Source organism: Homo sapiens, chromosome 1, assembly GCF_000001405.40.
Source record: "Homo sapiens chromosome 1, GRCh38.p14 Primary Assembly".
NCBI lineage: Eukaryota > Metazoa > Chordata > Mammalia > Primates > Hominidae > Homo > Homo sapiens.
The window spans coordinates 36,330,501-36,349,144 of NC_000001.11; the positions used below are offsets into that span (position 1 = coordinate 36,330,501).

At 54.3% G+C, this 18,644-nt stretch overlaps 1 protein-coding gene across 3 annotated transcripts in view; it reads right to left on the reverse strand.

Moving 5' to 3' along the window:
* Positions 1 to 9,127: 9,127 nt before the first annotated feature.
* Positions 9,128 to 18,644, reverse strand: part of STK40 (serine/threonine kinase 40) — a 46,297-nt gene continuing 36,780 nt past the window's right edge. For all 3 annotated transcript variants that reach the window (NM_001282547.2, NM_001282546.2, NM_032017.3), the window contains 5 exons: positions 18,200 to 18,315; positions 13,620 to 13,764; positions 13,360 to 13,479; positions 12,864 to 12,948; positions 9,128 to 11,473 (listed from right to left, as the gene is read on the reverse strand). In NM_001282547.2, coding sequence (NP_001269476.1) covers positions 11,255 to 11,473; positions 12,864 to 12,948; positions 13,360 to 13,479; positions 13,620 to 13,764; positions 18,200 to 18,315 — 685 coding nt within the window. In that variant the 3' untranslated portion in view covers positions 9,128 to 11,254. The remainder of the gene's footprint in view (positions 11,474 to 12,863; positions 12,949 to 13,359; positions 13,480 to 13,619; positions 13,765 to 18,199; positions 18,316 to 18,644) is intronic.

Consider the following 18,644-nt stretch of genomic DNA (forward strand, 5'->3'; position numbering starts at 1 on the left):
CTGTCTTCCCAAAAGACCCAGTGCTGGGCCAAGGGCTCCCTCCGGCCTCTAGGCCTCCGACTCCTCTGTTTCAGGGACGCCTGACTGGGTGGTTGCCTTCTGTATACTAAACAAGGCCCACAGGACTGGGGACGTCCTCTCCCCCGGTCCTTGCCACCGGCAGTCTCTCTCCTTCCTCAACCATCTCCTCCATTCACCATGGGAGCCTATCAATCTACTCTGTCTAAAGCAACCCCCCTGGGGTCACTTGTGCAACCTTGAGACTCTCAGTTTTTGTGCAAAAGTTTGTCCCAAGAGGCTTATTTTCTATTGTGATACGGCTTGGCCACAATATAAATTAGACATAGGCTCCCAGTGGCTTGAAAATGGTACTTTCTATTTCAATATACTCAGGGACTTAGACAATTTTTGCCATTGCGATGGAAAATGGTCTGAAATTCCTTATGTTCAGGCTTTCGTCACCCTCTGTAACCGCTCTTCACTTTGCCAATCCTTCTCCGATTTCCAAATCCTCCTCACCCGCTCTAAGCCCAATTTACTCTCAGCAGACCCCCCCTTCACAGCAAGCGACAACTCCTCCTTTGACCCCGCCGGCTTTCCACCTCCCTGGCAACATCATAATCCTCCATCAGATCATCACGATCCTCCACCATACACTCCCGCTCCTGCCTTATCTCTTTCCCCTCCCCTCTCTAACCACCCAGCTTCTGAATCTGATTCCTCCCCATCTCTCCACCTCATACCCGCTCTCGAACTGAGCACGTCCAACAACCAGTCTCCATACTTCCCCTCCGAGAGGTTGCCAGAGTTGAAGGAATCATTCGTGTCCACGTTCCCTTCTCCCTCTCTGACCTTTCCCAAATTGAAAAACATCTCGGGTCGTTTTCCTCCAATCCCGACACTTATATTAAAGACTTCAAATACCTTACCCAATCTTAAGAACTCACTTGGCATGATCTCTATATTGTCCTCTCTTCCACTATCTTCCCAGAAGAGAAGGAAAAAGTGTGGCTCACATCTCAGGCACATGCTAATGATCTTCAAGCAAGGCTTCAAGGATAGCCCCCATTTCTTTGGGCAAGCCCTACCCCAAGACCTTGCCTCGTTAAACCTATCCCCCAGCCTCCTTCTCCAGTATGTAGATGACCTCCTTCTCTGCAGCTGCTCCCTAAAAGACTCCCATGTCCACACTGCCACCTTTCTCAATTTTCTTGCTGTTAAAGGCTATAGAGTGTCCCCATCCAAAGCACAGCTTTCCACCCCTAGTGTGACCTACCTAGAAGTTCAACTCTCTACCGGGTCCCAAGCCATGACCCCAGCATGAGCAGCCTTAATGGGCAACCTATCTCCATGTTCCTCAAAAAGTGAAATTCTTTCCTTCCGAGGGCTAGCAGGCTTTTTCAGAATATGGATCCTCAACTTTGCCCTCTTAGCTCACCCCCTCTATGAAGCAGCCAAAGGCCCCCTAAAGGAGCACCTAAATCCCTACGACAACATAGCCCCTAGCTTCCACAAACTTAAAACCGCCCTTATAATCGCTCCAGCCCTATGTTTGCCTGATATTTCCCAGCCCTTCACCCTCTACACAACTGAAAGCCAAGGAATAGCCCTTGGCATACTTGGCCAACCAGAACGAAGTCCTCCATCTTTTGCCCCCATAGCCTAGCTTTCCAAACAGCTGGACAATACCATTTGAGGATGGCCAACCTGCCTCAGAGCTCTAGCGGCAGCTGCCACCCTGGCCATAGAAAGTAAAAAGCTAACATTCGGTCAAGATACCACCATCCACAGTCCACATAATCTATAAGACCTCCTTTCCTCCCAAGCATTAAGCATTCTCCCCCGTCCCACATCCAGCTTTTTCATGCCCTATTTCTTGACAACCCCGAGTTCTGTCCTGCCAAAAGTTCCCCCCTTTAACCCCGCATCTCTAATTCCATTATCTTCCTTGCCTCCTTCCCACTCCTGTACTGAAATTCTAGACCACCTGCAACCACACTTCCCTAACATCTCCTCTGAGCCTCCTATTGACCAACTATTGGTCAATATAATGACCAACTATACCCAGATGGCTCCTCTTCCGGAGCCACCGGCTCTCCCAAAATTGCTAGGTATGCAGTAGTTACCTTAAACCAAGTAATTGAGGCTAAGCCCCTACCCCTAGGAACCTCCTCCCAAAAAGCAGATCTCATAGCTCTCACCAGACCCCTTACCCTCTCCAAAGGCAAATGAGTCAACATTTACACAGACTCCAAATATGCCTATCACATCCTCCATTCTCATGCCGCCATCTGGCAAGAGAGAGGATTCCTTACTGCCCAAGGAACCCCCATCACTAACGGCCCCCTTATTTACCAACTTCTTCAGGCCTCACACCTCCCAACTAAAGCAGGAGTTATGCACTTTTGAGGACATCAAACAGGATCAGATGAAATCTCAAGAAATAACAGAAAGGCCGATAAGGCAGGAAAAGAAGACTCCCTTTCTTCTGTCCCTGCCCCCCTCCTCCTTGTTACCCCAGCAATCCAACCCAACCCAAGTACTCTCCCACCGAAAAGGCTTCACTACTACAGCAAGGAGCCTCCCTTCAAGAGGATTAATCAAAAATCAAGAGTTCGTCCTCCCCCAAGAGGAGACCAAGGAAATTCTGACTTTTTTTTTTTTTTTTTTAGACGGAGTCTTGCTGTGTCGCCCAGGCTGGAGTGCAGTGGTGCGATCTCGGCTCACTGCAACCTCTGCCTCCCAGGTTCACGCCATTCTCCCGCCTCAGCCTGCCAAGTAGCTGAGACCACAAGCACCCGCCACCACACTCGGCTAATTTTTTGTATTTTTAGTAGAGACCGGGTTTCACCATGTTAACCAGGATGGTCTCGATCTCCTGACCTCGTGATCCGCCCGCCTCAGCCTCCCAAAGTGCTGGGATTACCCGCGTGAGCCACCGCGCCCGGCCTAATTCTGACATCTCTTCACCAATCCTTCCATATTGGTGCGCACCCCCTGTACCTGCTCTTTCGCCCTTATTTCTCCTCCCCCCGTATATTCACCTCACTAAGAGACATAACCTCAAACTGTCCTATATGCTCTGTTACTTCCTCCCAAGGGGCCTTCCGCTCTCCCTCCATCCCTACACATCAGCTCAGAGGAACACTTCTAGGGGAGGACTGGCAAGTGGACTTCACCCACATGCCTCCCGTCAAAAAAAACCCAAATATCTTCTTAGCCTCATGGACACCTTCTCAGATTGGGTAGAAGCATTTCCTACCCCGTCGAAAAAAGCTGCAGAAGTCTCTCAAATTCTTATAACAGAAATCATCCCTAGACTTGGTCTCTCTCGGTCCATACAATCAGACAATGGCCCTAGCTTTATCTCCCAAATCACCCAACAAGTCTCCCAGTCCCTTGGGATCCAGTGGCGCCTCCATATCCCATACCGAACCCAGTCATCCAGAAAAGTCGAAAGGGCAAATGGAATTCTCAAGACTCAGTTAACCAAAATAACTCACTCTTGAAGTCAAAAAACCACGGACCTCCCTTTTACCCATAGCACTGGCCCGCATCAGAGCCAGTCCAAAAGCCCCCTCCTTCCTCAGTCCCTTTCAAGTAATGTATGGACACCCTTTCCTCTTACAAAACATACCCCCACTAACTCTCACCTCCCAATACTCTCCCTCATCCGTCATCTCTTCCGCGAGCAAGCTGACCAGGCCCTCCCAAAACCCCACCAAGGTCCCGCCGACCAAACTCTCCTCCCAGGAGAGTATACTTCCTAAAAACCGTCACTCCAACAAACTTTAAACCAAAGTGGGAAGGCCCTTTCCAAGTTCTTCTCACTACCCCCACTGCAGCCAAGCTGTCAGGACGTAACTCTTGGTACCATCTTTCCAGGTTAAAAAGGGCTCCTGCAACTGACCTGCCACCGACTGTTCCCTGTAAATACTGTAACCAGCTGTTCCCTGTAAATACTCCAGCACCCTCCTTGGACCAACCTGACTCAGCCTTACACCCATCCCAGAAGACGCCAACCCACCCCCTCCGCCAAGAAACATAACAGATAAGTTACCACCCCTTACTGTTAAATATCGAAACCCTCATTAATGGGAATCATTTACTGCACTGCCCTTATAGGAGTTGCCTTACTTACTCTGCTCTTTGCCGTAGGAAGAGATACTGTAACACCCCCAGGGTGGAACTCTAGCTTCATAATCCTCCTCATAGCAGAATAAAGGCCACTAATAAGTGACTGCCCCTCCTAAATGTCCTGCCTTTGCCCTGTCTTGCCACTTCACTCTCTTTCTTACCCAGAACAACCCACCCTCACAGCACTCCTTAACTGGGTAACTGATCTCACCTTCCAAAGAGCCCTATTCGTGAGTTTAGCCCAGGTGAGACCAATTTCTTCACCTTCACTCTTATCCTTTGCCTGCTTACTCCTCCTTCCCTTCTCCTCCTCACTACGACTCCATCTACAACGAACCATCCAACAGGCACACACAATACTTAATCAAACCAATCCTGACCTCGCACGTAACTGCTGGTTTTGTGTCCATTCCTCAGAAACCACATCAAAAATTGCCTTCCTGGTCCCACTTAAAGATTGGACCCTTACCAACCTGACACTCCATCCTCACTATCGAAGCTTCGGAGGGGTAAATGCACTTAAAAGTTATAAAACCAACCTCACCCGCTACACCTCCAGGAGCAAACTTATCTTAGGGACACTTACATCTGATGCCAAATTAGACCAACAGGCACCCCTTTGTATACAGCACGACCTTCCCTCAGGAACCCCTTTAGGCACTCTCCCCACCGGCTCATGTAACTACACCCTACAACTCAGCCCACCTGCTGGTATCCAGCCGCTAACAGTATACAATCCCACTCAAATACTCAAAATTTCTGGTCCCCCAAAAATACAAACCACTAATCTCAACACAATAAACTCAGGTTTCTGCATCAATCCACACAAACCCTGTATGATAATTGCAGGATGGACTCCATGCCCTAGCCCCCGCCCAGCCTCCAACTGTCCACAACTCAGGTAGCCAGAGCCCCCACTGGGGAAAAACTTTTAGTGGACACATAATATTTCCTCCTACACTGGGAAAACAAAACAGTAGGGCTAGCCAACTAACCTCAACCCATCCCTTCCAACCACTCACCGGGGCGGCCCTGTCTTCCTCTCTCTCCGCTTGGCGATCAGAAAACAAGATCCTAAAGCCCCTCTTTGCCAAAGACCTCCAATTTTGCCTTCCTAGCCAGGGCATATTCTTTCTCTGTGGCACTTCCACCTAGCTCTGCTTACCCACTAACTGGACAGGAACCTGCACGCTAGTCTTCCTTAGTCCAAAAATAGACATAGCCCCTGGGGATAGACCCTTACCCTTCCAAATTCAAACATTATCCCGCAGACGCTGAGCCATACAGCTTATACCCCTGCTAATAGGGTTAGGCATTATGGCAGCTGCAAGAACTAGAGTCGCAGGAATTGCAACCTCTACCTATTACTACAAATCCCTATCCAAGGACCTCTCTGATAACACTGATGACCTAGCATCCACTGTATCAACCCTCCAGGCCCAACTAGACTCCCTAGCCGCAGTAGGTCTTCAAAGCCGCAGGGGCCTCGATTTACTTACCGCAGAAAAAGGAGGTATCTGCGTCTTCCTAGATGAAGAATGCTGCTTCTATTTCAGTCAGGCCTGGTTCAAGATGCAGTTAAAAAATTAAAGGACCGGGCTCAAAAATCAGGGAAAACAGTTCTTCCCCCTGGCCCTCCTGGCCCCTATGGCCCTTCAGCTCCTGGGCCTCCTGGCTACTCCCACTCCTTGGACCTGTCATAATCATTCTCCTTCTAATCTTTGGGTCCTGCCTCTTATGTCTCTTTACCCAGTGTTTTCTTAATTTTTTATTTATTTTATTTTATTTTATTTTTTTGAGGCAGAGTCTCGCTCTGGCACCCAGGCTGGAGTGCAGTGGCGCAATCTCTGCCCACTGCAAGCTCCGCCTCCTGGGTTCACACCATTCTCCTGCCTCAGCCTCCCAGGTAGCTGGGACTACAGGTGCCCGCCACTATGTCTGGCTAATTTTTTGTATATTTAGTAGAGACGGGGCTTCACCGCGTTAGCCAGGATGGTCTCGATCTCCTGACCTCGTGATCCACCTGCCTCGGCCTCCCAAAGTGTTGGGATTACAGGCGTGAGCCACGGCGCCCGGTCTCTTTACCCAGTTTTTACAGAAGCGCATCCGAGCCTTCATCCACAGAACCATACAAGACATGATGCTACTCCAAGAATACCAACAATTTCAAAGCCAGAACCCAAACCAACCCCTACCTTCCAGCCTCTCCCCCTAACCACCGCTCCCTCTCAGCTAGAAGCAGCCTGATGAGAACAACGCCCCCTTTTCTATCAACTATTAAAAGCTGGAATGTTAGGGTCACCCCGACCAGACTGTTCTCCTCCTTTCGCAAAGGTCTTACAATACAGTCCTTTGTGACCTCCGCATAGCTCCCCCAGGGCTAAAGGCAAACCCCCCGCCACAACTGACCCTTCGAGAGTAACTGTTTGTCCAGAAGACTTCAGCTGAACTGGCAGACAGTTCCAAGATGCGGTCAGAACACCTGCTAACCAAAGCTGGCAAAACTATCTCCAGGACGCAGTCAAGACACCTGCACCCCCAACTCGGTTCACACACCCCGACCCAGTTCCTCGCCCTGTAAAGCCCTGCTGCAGTCTGTAAGTGGGGCTGCCTCCTCTGCCTGTCAAGGAGCAGCCTGGCAGGACGAATAAAAATTGCTTACCTGACTTTGAGCCTACTCATCCTTTCTCTCGGCTAACCTTACACAGAGGCCGTGCGGTGGAAGCATGCTTGGCTTGTTCAGGATCAGGGGGCCCAAGCAGCAGGAATAGAGTGAGGGGTGAAGGGCTGAGAAGGTGGGGAGGTACCCAAGTGTGCAGACTCATGGTGTAGAGCCTTACAAGCCACACAGACCTTTGGATTTTCTCCTGCATGGAGGGTAAGCCATCAGAGGGTTGTAAACAGAAGAGGGACACAGTCAGGTTTTTAAAGGCTCACTCTGGCTACCACGTGGTGCCTGGACTGTGGCAGGGGAAGAGTGGGAGACCAGGAGGCCAGAGATGGAGGCTTAGGGTGGTTGCAGTGGAGCTGTGACAAATGGTCAGATTCTGCCCGTGTTCTGAAGGTAGGGCCAGCCAACAGGAGTAGCAGTGGATTGGACATGGGGTGTGAGAGAGAAGGATGAGAGGGAGGGAGGGAAGGAGGGACGGAGGGACAGAGAAAGTCAGGCCAACTTGGCTTCAGAGCCTGAACAATCCAGCCACCAAGACCATTCCTCACTCCCTTTCCACTTCTGCTAGTTTGACAGGTCCAGCCAGTGTCCCTGGCTCTTCCCAGGGACACTGGAGACCAGGGTGGCCAAAGGGGATGCCAGCTTCGCAGTTCTCATTTGGTTTGACCTTTCAGGAGCACGCGAGTGGTCAGTGTGGCCGCACTGGTCCCACCCATCCTTCTGGTACTTTCTTTTTCCTTTGCTGCCACAGGGCTCATAGTGAAACCTGTGAGGAACAGCGATCCAAGAAGTTCACTTTTGTTTTCGTTAAATTGACCAACTCACAGCCAAGAAACAGTTTAGATCAATACACCAAACTGTTCAGGAGTGCCAGAGTGTACAGGCCCAGACCCAGGTGCTGAGGAGGTAAGGGTGAGCAAAACGAAGCCCCTGCCTGTAGGGCGCTTGCTGTCTAGTGTTTTGCTGAATGTAAGAGTGACACGTGTAGGTGTCCAGGAGGTATCTGTGCCCTGAACAGAGGCTTAATGGGTGGCGGGACAGGAGTGAGGCTGAACATAGAGACAAGGTCCAGAGCTGAGAGTGGCACTGGTGGGCTGGGAGCAGGGGCACCTCCCAGCAGAGCATCCAGGATGGGTAAGGCATGGGCCAAATGTAATGGGCAAAATCTTTGGACAGCTGGCTGCTGGGGCAGGTGTGGAACTGTGAGGTGGAGGAGTGAGGGGCCTGGGGCTGTGCTCTGAAGCACTGCAGAGGATCAGAGCCTTCTCACATCTTGGAGGTGCCCCTCTTGGTCTGTGGACCCTTGACTGGGAAGGGGCTCTGCCTGCACAGATCTTGTTCCTTGAGTGGCCTGGGTATGGGCTCCTGGACACAGAAGTGTGTCCGCGTGGGTGCTGTGGTGTGCCGGGGGAGGGGCCAGCCTACCTCTAGCTTCATTGCTAGAATGAAGTGCAATCTGCAAAGTCTAAATTTTTTTTCTTTTTTGAGATGGAGTCTCACTCCATTGCCCAGGCTTGGAGTGCAGTGGCGTGATCTCGGCTCACTGCAACCTCCACCTCCCGGGTTCAAGCAATTCTCTGCCCCAGCCTCCTGAATAGCTGGGATTACAGGCACCTGCCACCATGCCTGGCTAATTTTTGTATTTTTGGTAGAGACAGGGTTTCACCATCTTGGCCAGGCTGGTCTTGAACTCCTGACCTCATGATCCACCCGCTTCGGCCTCCCAAAGTGCTAGGATGACAGGCATGAACCACCGTGCCCGGCCCAAAGTCTAAATTTAAGCAAAGGAAGGAAGGAAAGAAAGGAAGGAAGGAAGCCCTTGGCTTCCTATTGAGGAGAGGGAGGGGGAGGGTGGAGCAGGAAGAGGCCTGGCTGGGCCTTCTCCTTCCCTGGCTGCCCTGGATGGGCACATGGGCAGTCTGTCTGGGGCAGCAGGCTCCCCTACCCCAGATGGAGTTCAGCAGAGAGGATCAATACCCTTCAGCTGCTGTGGTGCTGGGATGCCCCGCTGCCTCCTGCATGCAAGGTCAGAGGGTGAGCCAAGCCAAGCAGGGAGCTCTCACTTGGGCAGTGGGCAGATGCACAGGTCTCAAGAGACTGCTGGGCACTTCAGGTTCCCCTCCCCCGCCAAGACAGTGGTGCCAGGTGCCACCCGCTGGCTGCGGGGAGCAGGGAGGGGGCACACTCAGAGCTGCAGGAAGCCAGTTGGGAATCCTGCACCACTCAGCTGGGATGGAGAGGGATGGGGCTGGGTCGGGGCTGGAGAGGCCGAGATGTAGGCAGGGAAGGCAAGAAGGCAGGAGACGCAGGCCACAGTGGTTCCAGATCAGGAAGTTTTATTGCTGACATGCAGGAAGAGTCCCCATGTAGTACAAAAATATGTCTTTATACAAACTTTTTTGTGACTTTTTCCGTTTCTTTACAATAGGACTTCTCTCAGTGTGTGACACCCAGTGAGGGCTGACCCATCCTCCTCTCCTTTGCTTCACCAGGAATGTCATCAGACACATGGCTTGACCTTGGAAGGGCCCAGTCTGTCTGACAGGGCTTTGCAGACCCGGCGGCTATTGCTTTGAAAAGGAGGAGAAAGACCACGCACGGGCAGCAGCCTGGAGGGACCCGGTGGGCTGCTGAGAGGGGGCTCCGCTGCGACGGGCCCTGGCCCAGCTTCAGGCCCTCACAGGAGGACAGTCAAGGGCTGGGAGCCCTAGGCCGGACTGCATTTCCGCTCCCGCAGGAGACTTTCTATGAAATAAATATAGAAAAGAGGGCATCCCCCAGCCCCACAGCACAAGACCCTGGCCCTCAGCGCTGGACAGCTGAGACAGACGCAGGCTCGCTGCTCAGGGGGAGTAAGTGCTGGGCTCCAGTAGGCTCCCACAGGCCCACTGAGGCAGAGGCATGAGTCGCCCAAGTGCTGGATGGGGCATGGGGAGAAAGGGGCGTGGGCAGCCCTGCTACTGCTGGCAAGAGGTGGCCCCATTTTTTCCAGATGGGGAAACTGAGGCACAAGGAGGTTTGGGAACTTGCCCAAGGTCACTCACAGTGAGTCAGCTTTTTAGGGGGAGGAGAGCGGCTCACACTCTGGGAAACACAGTCACCTCCCCACTGGGGAGCAGGGCCAGGCAGGAGGGGCCTCAGGGCCCATGACTGCCTGGAGGGGACACTCAGCCTCTCTGAGGACATATGGGGGGTAGGCCTCTGGGGAAGGGTCTTTGCTTGGCATCAGGCAGGGCCAAGTCCAGTAAGGGCAAGGGGAGGGGGCATTCTGGTGAGAACAGCATTTCTGGCAAGACGGGCATCCACTTCAAAATCTCGGCTCAAAAGGGCAGCAGGGCTGTTCTCAAGCCAGGCAGGCAGGGTCCCCCAATCCCTACAATTCTCCTGAGTCCCTCACCACCATGGAGGACCCTTGCTAGGGTCTACCGGGAGAGTCACCACATCTATTATGAGGCAAGGGCACTGGGATATGTTCCCACCATCCCCTAAACACAAGAGTAGGCTAGGGGAGCGTGCAGGCAGCCCCCGCTCACGGCCAGGCCTGCAGCCCAACCCATGGGCCCCTTCGCACTGGGAGTCCACGTGAGCTCAGTACCACGGGGAAGGATAGAGAAGGGAACAGGTTAACGCGCGTGTACAGCACCTCAGAGAAGCCACTGAGACGGGAGAGAAAGAGCCAGGTCTAGAAAGGCCTCCCATCACCGGCAGCAGAGAGGGACTGGTGGGCTGAAAGGGGACAGGGACTGGCAGGAGGGGCTTCCCTGCCTGGGGGTGAGGAGGGAGCTCACGTGTGGGCTGTGGATTCCTTGCTGTCCAGCCAGGCTGGGGGCAGGGAGTGGCCATGGACTGAGCCACCTAGAGATGGGAGAGAAGTTGGTATGGTAAAAAAATAAATATATTTGAGTTCGGTTTAAGATGAGGTGAAGGTTTTCCAAAGCTTGGACTGAGGGGCCTGGATCAGAAAGAGAGGGACGGAAAGAGGCTGTGGCAGGGGCCTGGGAGAGCAGGGAGGAGGGGAAGCTCGCTCTGGGGCCTGCAGCGAGCTGCACTTTCAGCTTATTTGGACTGTGGGGAGCAGCGCCCCAGGTCAGTTGGTGGCCGCTGGGGAAGGCCCTGGAGTGGGGTGAGCAGGCTCCCTCCTCCCTCTTGCTCAGTCCAGAGACAGCATGGTTAAAGAGACAGAGGTAGATTAAAACATCGTGATTAAAAGCAGATTAGTTATCTAGGCTTCTCAGATTTAAAAACCAAACAATCGAGCAATCATCCCAAAAGGTAGCTTCGTGGTACCTCTGCTGACCCCACGTGTGACCTGGGCTGTCCCTGTCCCTGCCCTGTCCCTATTGTGGCCCGGGAGAGTCCAGCACTACAGGGCCCAGCCCTGACAGCCACGCCTTTGGCTGGGGCTGGAAGAAGTGGCAGCAGTGCTGGTGGCCCCGGCTGAGGCTGTTATTTCCGCAGGTAGCGCTGCGCCAGGATGGCCGTGTCCAAGGAGGTCATGGGCTGTGCGTCGTGGCCCAGCCGTCGCACCGGTGGTGCGCTGCCGAACTGCCGCTTGGGTACCCAGCTCCGGGCGTCATGGATGGAGCTCTTCTCCTCGGCCAGCAGCAGCTGCTGACGCATGTAGTTCTCAAACTCGTACTGGGAGCACTCCTCCGTCACCTTCGCCTTTGAGGCGGGGAGGGTGGGAAGGAGACAAAGATAAACCCAGATGAAGGCAGCGCAGCAGACAGGAGGGCAGGCAAGAGTGCTGGCAGCCTGGCTCCTGCAGTCACCCTTCCAGGCACCACACCCTCAGGCCTCAAGGCCGGGGGTGGGAGTGGCGCTGAGGGTGGGTCCCTGACCCCCTCCAGCCAACCTCAACTCCCCTTGCAGGCCGCCCTGCGGACCCGGGACTGACGCAGACTCATGCTTCCTAACTCACTGGCTGCGTGAGAGGTCACTTTACCTCAGAAGCCTTAGCTGTCTGGCCCCTCGCAAAGGTTCTCTGAGCCCTGAGGCGGCTAATGCACGTCAAGAGGTACGAGCAAGCCCTGGGCTGGGGGCGCAGCACCTGGAGGAGCCACATACGCAGGGCCCCATGCTGAGCTCCCTGGGATGGTCTAGGCAGATGGTAACAGAAGCTGAAGTGGTGTCCCCGTGCCAGTCACCACAGGAGACAGCAGGGCTTCCGGATGAGACTTGGGTTCAAGGCTTAGCTCCACTACTTCTAAGCTGTGTGGCTTTGGGAAAGTCCTCTCTAACCCTGTTTCCTCTTCTGTAACATGGGGCTAAGAACACAGGCCACGCAGGCCCGCAGTGAGGGCTGAATGAGGTGCCCTCGGGGTAGGCACTCACTGCGGGCTAGTGATGATGATTTTAGCCAAACAGCTAAAGGGTGGAAGCTGGAGGTGGGTAGGGATTGGAACTCTCTTTCCTCGGGGGCCAGGAGGCTCTGGGAGGCTCTCCCAGGCACGGCCCCTCCTGGTCCTACCTGCACACTGCTCACTGTGGAGCTCCAAGGTGGGCCAGGGAGGGAAGGTCCTTCCAATATCCAGGGCCCAGCAATGCTGTTGCTCGGCCAAGCCCTGCCCTCCAGGGGGCACCCTAAGATCACCTGCCCTCTGCTGCCTGGTGCCCAAGTCTCTGCCCCCACCCTAGGCCCAACACTTTCTCCAGTGCAGGGAATGGGGAGGAAAGAAATAGGGAGAAATGAATCATCTGAAAAATGAAAAGCAGGAAGGGTGAGAGAGAACTCTGAGTCAGGGGGCAGAGAAATGTGACTTGGGCAGCAGGAGGAAGCTGAGAGGGCTGGCCTGGGCCACTTGGGCACTGGCTCCAGCTCGGCTGTCTCACAGGTCTCTCTGGCCAAAGATCTCCAGCTACACCAAGCCCAAGGCAGGCCCCAGGCAGCTCAGGCTGAGGACTGAAGTCTCCCTTTCCCACCCCAAGGCTGGGGAAGAAGACCAAGGAAACTCTGTGGCCTGCGGGTAGCTGCCACCTCTGCCCTTGCCCTGCCTGCCCCCAGAAGCCTGTCCCTTGGGGCTGGGTAATGGCCCATCTGCCCTCCCCAACTCACCTCCTGGGAGCTATCCGCATTGCTCATTTGGTCATCAATGTCAGGAACCACTTGCAAAGGCCCACTCAGAGATGACAGGGACTGCCTGCAGGGAGGCAGACAGGTCAGGCTGGCCCCAGAGAGACCAGGTCCATTGATCCCAGACTTAACTGGAGTCAGACACACCTGGGTTGTGTTCCTGCCATGAGAGACTGCTTCTCTGAGCCTCAGTTTTCTTATCCCATAAAGGGGGACAATTTCTCCCTTACAGGTGGTGGTGAGAACTCAGTGAGGCAATGCCCATGCCCCGCTGGCAGGGCCTGGGTAACTATGGCAGCCCATAGTTGCTCAACCTTCAGTTCTGCCTATGCCCTCCCAATCTTGTCCATGCAGAGAATCTGGAAATCTGACTCTAACTGGCAGAGAAGCAGGCTGACTACTGGCTGCTTTTCTGGGTAGGATGGGCAGAGGCCCTGAGGACGCAGCCTTGTGCCCGGTCAAGTGCCTGTCCACTTACCATGATGCAATGATGGCACTGAGGGCCTCCAGGACGTCGGCGGCGGCCAGGCGCTGCTGGGGGTCAAGGACCAGCAGCTTCCGGATGAGACACACGGTGTTCTCAGAAACCCGTCCATCCCTGAGGCAGGGAGTTGGGGAGGAGGGCTCAGTGGGTGGTGCTGGGTCTGTGGCCAGGATGCCCAGGCTCACTGTGCCGTTTCCCTGCCTTAAGCCCATCAGGCTGGCTGCCCCCCCCACCCCCCGGGAGGCAGGACTCACTCAGGAATGGTATACTCGGCAGCCTTGATCTTGCGGAAGAGCTCCTGCGGGATGCTGTCGTAGAAGGGGAACTGGCCATACAGCATGGTGAAGAGCACCACGCCCAGGGCCCACATGTCACTGGGCTTGCCACGGTACGGCCGGCCTACGGGCACACACATACCACACTGTCTTCAGGCCACAGCACCACCGTGGCTCACCAGCCTGGAATCCCACCTGGGACCCTCCACCTGCCACCCTCACTTCCAGTCCCCCCAGAGTCGTCCTCTGAGCTCCTGCCCGTGCTCCCCGCTCCCCTGTTCCTCAGGATGCACCTCTCCTGCCCCAAGGAGAGGGCTCACTCAGCACCTGCTCACAGCACCTGCCCCGCCCGGCCAGATGGCGAGCCCCTGGGAGCCAGGCATGGGTCTGCAGCCCCAGCACCCAGCACAGCAGCTCACAAGCAGGGGGTCAAGAACACTGGCACAGCAGATAACTAGCTGGCTCCAGATGAGCTGGCCGCTCCTCCTGTCACCGTCCCCACACCCCACCTGCCTCCTTCACAGCCCGGATGACTACTTGCAGGTCCCCTCCTTTGTCTACTTGTGACTCCCCGTCTCCCCTCTAGAAGGGAAGTTCTCAGGTGCAGGTGCCTCCCTGCGGTGTTCACTGCTGAGCCCCAGTGCCCAGCACGGACCCAAGTATTTGCTAAATGAAGGATGGCCACTTAATTCACCTCTCTGTGAGAGTTTCCTCATCTGTAAAGCGAAAAGGAGCAGGCATCTAACGGAGCACCCGCTTTAGGACAGCATGGGAAGAAACACTTTTATTTCACTAACTGTGCTCCACAGCTTGAGGACACTGAGGCCCAGTGATCTGCTCTGTCCAGGGCCACATGGCTGCTCAGTGGGCCCACATCTGACTGTCAGGCTCTGCTGCTTGCCTCCTTTCAGGGCAACCTGTCCACCCACCCAGCAGCAATACAGCCATTGTCTGACCCACTCCCCCAAATGCAAAATATGAAGACCACTGGAGCATTTGAAAGCTCTTGGCCCTGCCCACTCCCTGCGATGCACCCTCTGGTATACCAGCAGGCTGTGGCAGCCTGGACCCCAGAACACAACTCCGTTCTCCGTGGGTGTGGAAGAGACGCTGCCAGGCACCCTAGCGTCACCTCCCTGGGCAACCAGGGCCCAGTGAAGGGCAAGCAGTTTAACCGGGAGAGGGTGTGCCATGTGTGCATGGCAGTGCCATTACAGGCCTCAGCCTGCGTCTTCAGAAGGTACCACGGCACCTTCAGGATGGCACTGCCGCCTACAACAGAGGGCTGTTGTGGGGAATAAGCACCTGCCCTGGCTGGTATAGCAGGTAGTTCTGTGGAAGATGAGCTTCTCCCAAGCTCTTTCCAGGCTGTGTCATCCTAGGCTCTTTCCAGCGCCCGGTGCCAAAGAGCAGCTGCGGTGACTGTGTGGCTGACCCCATGGCTGACTCAAGGACAGCCCCCTTTTCCTAGAACTTGCTCCACCAAGTGGGGTTGCCAGTACAGAATCTATTACTTGTACCACCATTCTTAGCTCTGTATGGTTCCAAAAAAGGTGCTGCCTCTCCTCCCGTGGCTGGAAGATGCTTCCTGTTGAGCTGTCCTGCTGGCTTAGGCAGGAAGGATCTGCTTCCAGGACCTGTGTAGGGTTCCCTCAGCCCGAGCCTCTGTCCTGACCTGGAGGTATGAATGGCCCCTCCCCAGACAAACTCGCTGGGAGCCTGACCTGGGCAGGCGACCTTCCCTGGGCTTTGGCTTCTGAGGGGACACTGTACCCACAAGCTTCCCTTTCAGCAACGATCATGCCAAACACTAGGTTAAGGGCATTACATATATATATATATATATATATATTTTTTTTTTTTTTTTTTCCTGAGACAGAGTCTTGCTCTGTTGCCCAGGCTGGAGTGCAGTGGTGAGATCTCGGCTCACTGCAAGCTCCGCCTCCCAGGTTCACGCCATTCTCCTGCCTCAGCCTCCCGAGTAGCTGGGACTATAGGCACCCGCCACCACGCCCGGCTAATTTTTTTTATTTTTAGTAGAAACAGGGTTTCACTGAGTTAACGAGGATGGTCTCGATCTCCTGACCTCGTGATTTGCCCGCCTCGGCCTCCCAAAATGTTGGGATTACAGGCATGAGCCACCGCGCCTGGCTGGTTAAGGGCATTATTTAATCCCTCAAGTACTACTACTGCCATCCCTATTTTACAGATGAGAAAATGGAGGCTCAGAGAGGTCTGTAACTTCCCCCAAATTCACATGGTTATTAGCCAGACTATCACCTCCATGAGGGCCAGACCAGGCCTGCCTTTTCACAGCTCCATGCCCCATGCCCATGCTGGGCACATGGAGAATAAATGAAAGGGCAGACCTGGGTCGGAAACCCACATGGTAGGGCTGGTACTTCAGCTTCTAACCCAGGAGGGAGGAGGCTGAAGTCAGAAGGAGATTGGAGGCCGTGATCACACAGCTGGTTCAACAGCAAGGCCAGAATGAGAACCCAGGTCTCTGGTCTCCCAGTCGAGGATTCTCTCTGATTCAGTCAGATTCCTTTGTTTCATCCTCCAAGACTGGCACGAGTCTGGAAGAACCAGAAGGATAGGCTGCTGGCAACAGCAGGGAGGGCCACAGAGCCTCAGACTGCAAATGAAGGCCACTCTAGGCTGGTGCTGCAAGAGAGGAGTCCCATCCAGGGCTAGCCCACAGCCTGAGCCCTGCAAACAGGCACAGCCCCACTCACAGGCTGGGTGGAAGGAGGAGCCTGGCTCTATCTCCTATGGGGATGCTTTGGGGATTACTGTAGAGGGTGCCAGACTGTGCTGGGCCATGGGGGTGGTGCCCCAGGAGTTAGGGTATACCCCTGGCACCCAGTTCCCTCTAGCAGAGGCTGTAGTGACTCTAACCAAAACCCCCAGGTCTGGGGAATGGTGCTACTGTCTTTGCACACGGGCAGCCCTGGGGACAGGCCTGGCTCTCCAGCAGAAGCGGCAGCTGGGGGAGCCTCCGAGGGAGTTGTAAGTGCTTGTATTACAGCAGCCTGCTCACCAGGATGTGTGTGAAGAGCTGGGACGAGGCTGGCTCGGCCACTGCACGGAAAGGGCGCACTCATGTGTGGGGTGGGGATGAAGGATCTTGGAGACAACCCCAAGTTCTCCATGTTGGAGGGATGGGAGCTGGTGTAAGCCCCGGTTCCCTAAAGGATTTGGGCCAAGGACAAGGGGGAAAGAGAAAGCAACAGAGTCGACAGTGAAAGAGTTGCGAGAATGGGCTTTAGTGGGAGGCAGCCCTGGGGCTGCGCCTCCATTTTCCAGTTTACTATTTATTAGCTACGACTTTGGACAAGAGATGTCATCTCTCTGAGCCTCAATTTCCTCATCTGTGAAAAAAGGACTTAAGATAGATATTGGCCTCACAGGGTAGCTGTGTGGTTTAAACAGATAACGCGAGTCACGCTCAGCACAGTGTCTGGAACTTGGAAATCAGATCAGTGGGCAGTAACTTTATGAGTTTTTTTTTTTCTTTTTTTTTTTTTGAGATGGAGTCTCGCTCTGTTGCCCAGGCTGGAGTGCAGTGGCACAATCTCGGCTCACTGCAACCTCCACCTCCTGGGTTCAAGCGATTCTCCTGCCTTAGCCTCCTGAGTAGCTTGGATTACAGGCAACCGCCACCACGCCCGGCTAATTTCTGTATTTTTAGTAGAGACAGGGTTTCACCATATTGGCCAGGCTGGTCTCGAACTCCTGACCTTATGATCCCGCCACAGCCTCCCAAAGTGTTGGGATTACAGGCATGAGCCACTGCACCCGGCCTGTGAGTTACTTATTTGTTTCGTGTATTATCTGTCTCATCCCCACTAGAAAGTCAGCTCCATGAAGGCAGCAATGTTTGTCTACTTTGTTCCCTGTTGTCTCCAAAGTGTCTAGAACAGAGCTTTGGGCCTGGGTGGCCCTCAGCAAACAGTAACAGAATGAATGAACACAGACAAGGAGAGAGGGCTCTGAAACACAAACTCACAGCAGCACACTCAGTTAAGAACTGTTCAATGGCTTCCACTCGCACTTGAAGTAAAGGATGACATCTCTTACTGAGGCCTATGTCAGGCCTTGCCTGATCTGGCCCCTGCGCACCTCTCTGGCTTCCCCTTGAACCAGGCTCACTTTCTGAGCAGCCTGCAATTGCTCCAACGTGCTGTGCTGCCTCTGGGACCCTCAGCCTCAGCCTAGTCACACATACCCAGGGAATTCCTAGTTTCCCTTAAGATCATAGCTCAACTGTCACACCTTGTGGGGAAAGTCCTCCAAGCACCCTTCATCCACTCTCACAGCAATCCCGTTCCTCCCTAGCACTAACCTCAGAGGAATTAAACATGCATTCATGTTATCATTACGTCTTCCACCTCCAACAGACCAAACATTTTGTATGGGGAGGGACAGTACTGGTCTGGGCCCCCAGTGAAGCCCCAGCACCTTGCCCAGGGCCTGCCCACAAATTTGCTGAGTGGACTGTCACAGAGCCTGGCTGTATTGAGCTTAGAGGCCCAATGTCTGGCACACACACGTACCGCTGAGCACGTCGGGACTGATGTAGGCAGGGCTCCCTCTCTGGTCCTTCAGCAGGTCCCCCTCGCTCACCAGATGCTTCCCGAGGCAGAAGTTGGTGATGGTTATCCGATGTGTCCTAGGAGTGGGAGACAGAGTGAACAAACCTCAGTGTCTATAGCAACAGGCACAAGACACGCAGGCAGGACACACCTCACTGGGCCAACACCCAATCCTGAACAGTAGGAGGTAGGCTTCTCGTCAGAGGGTGAAGCAGCTGCCCCGACCCCCTCTCCAGGGAGCAGAGCAGAGGAATCAGGCCCCAGACTTTTCTGGCCACCAGCCGAGCTGTCCCAGCAGGGATCGGCTTCTCTCCCAGGTATCTGAGTGTTGCACAGGCCATCCCTGGACCTGCTGCCCGGGCTGAATCTCGGGGTACAGCTTAGGGCTTAGAACAACTTTCAGAGA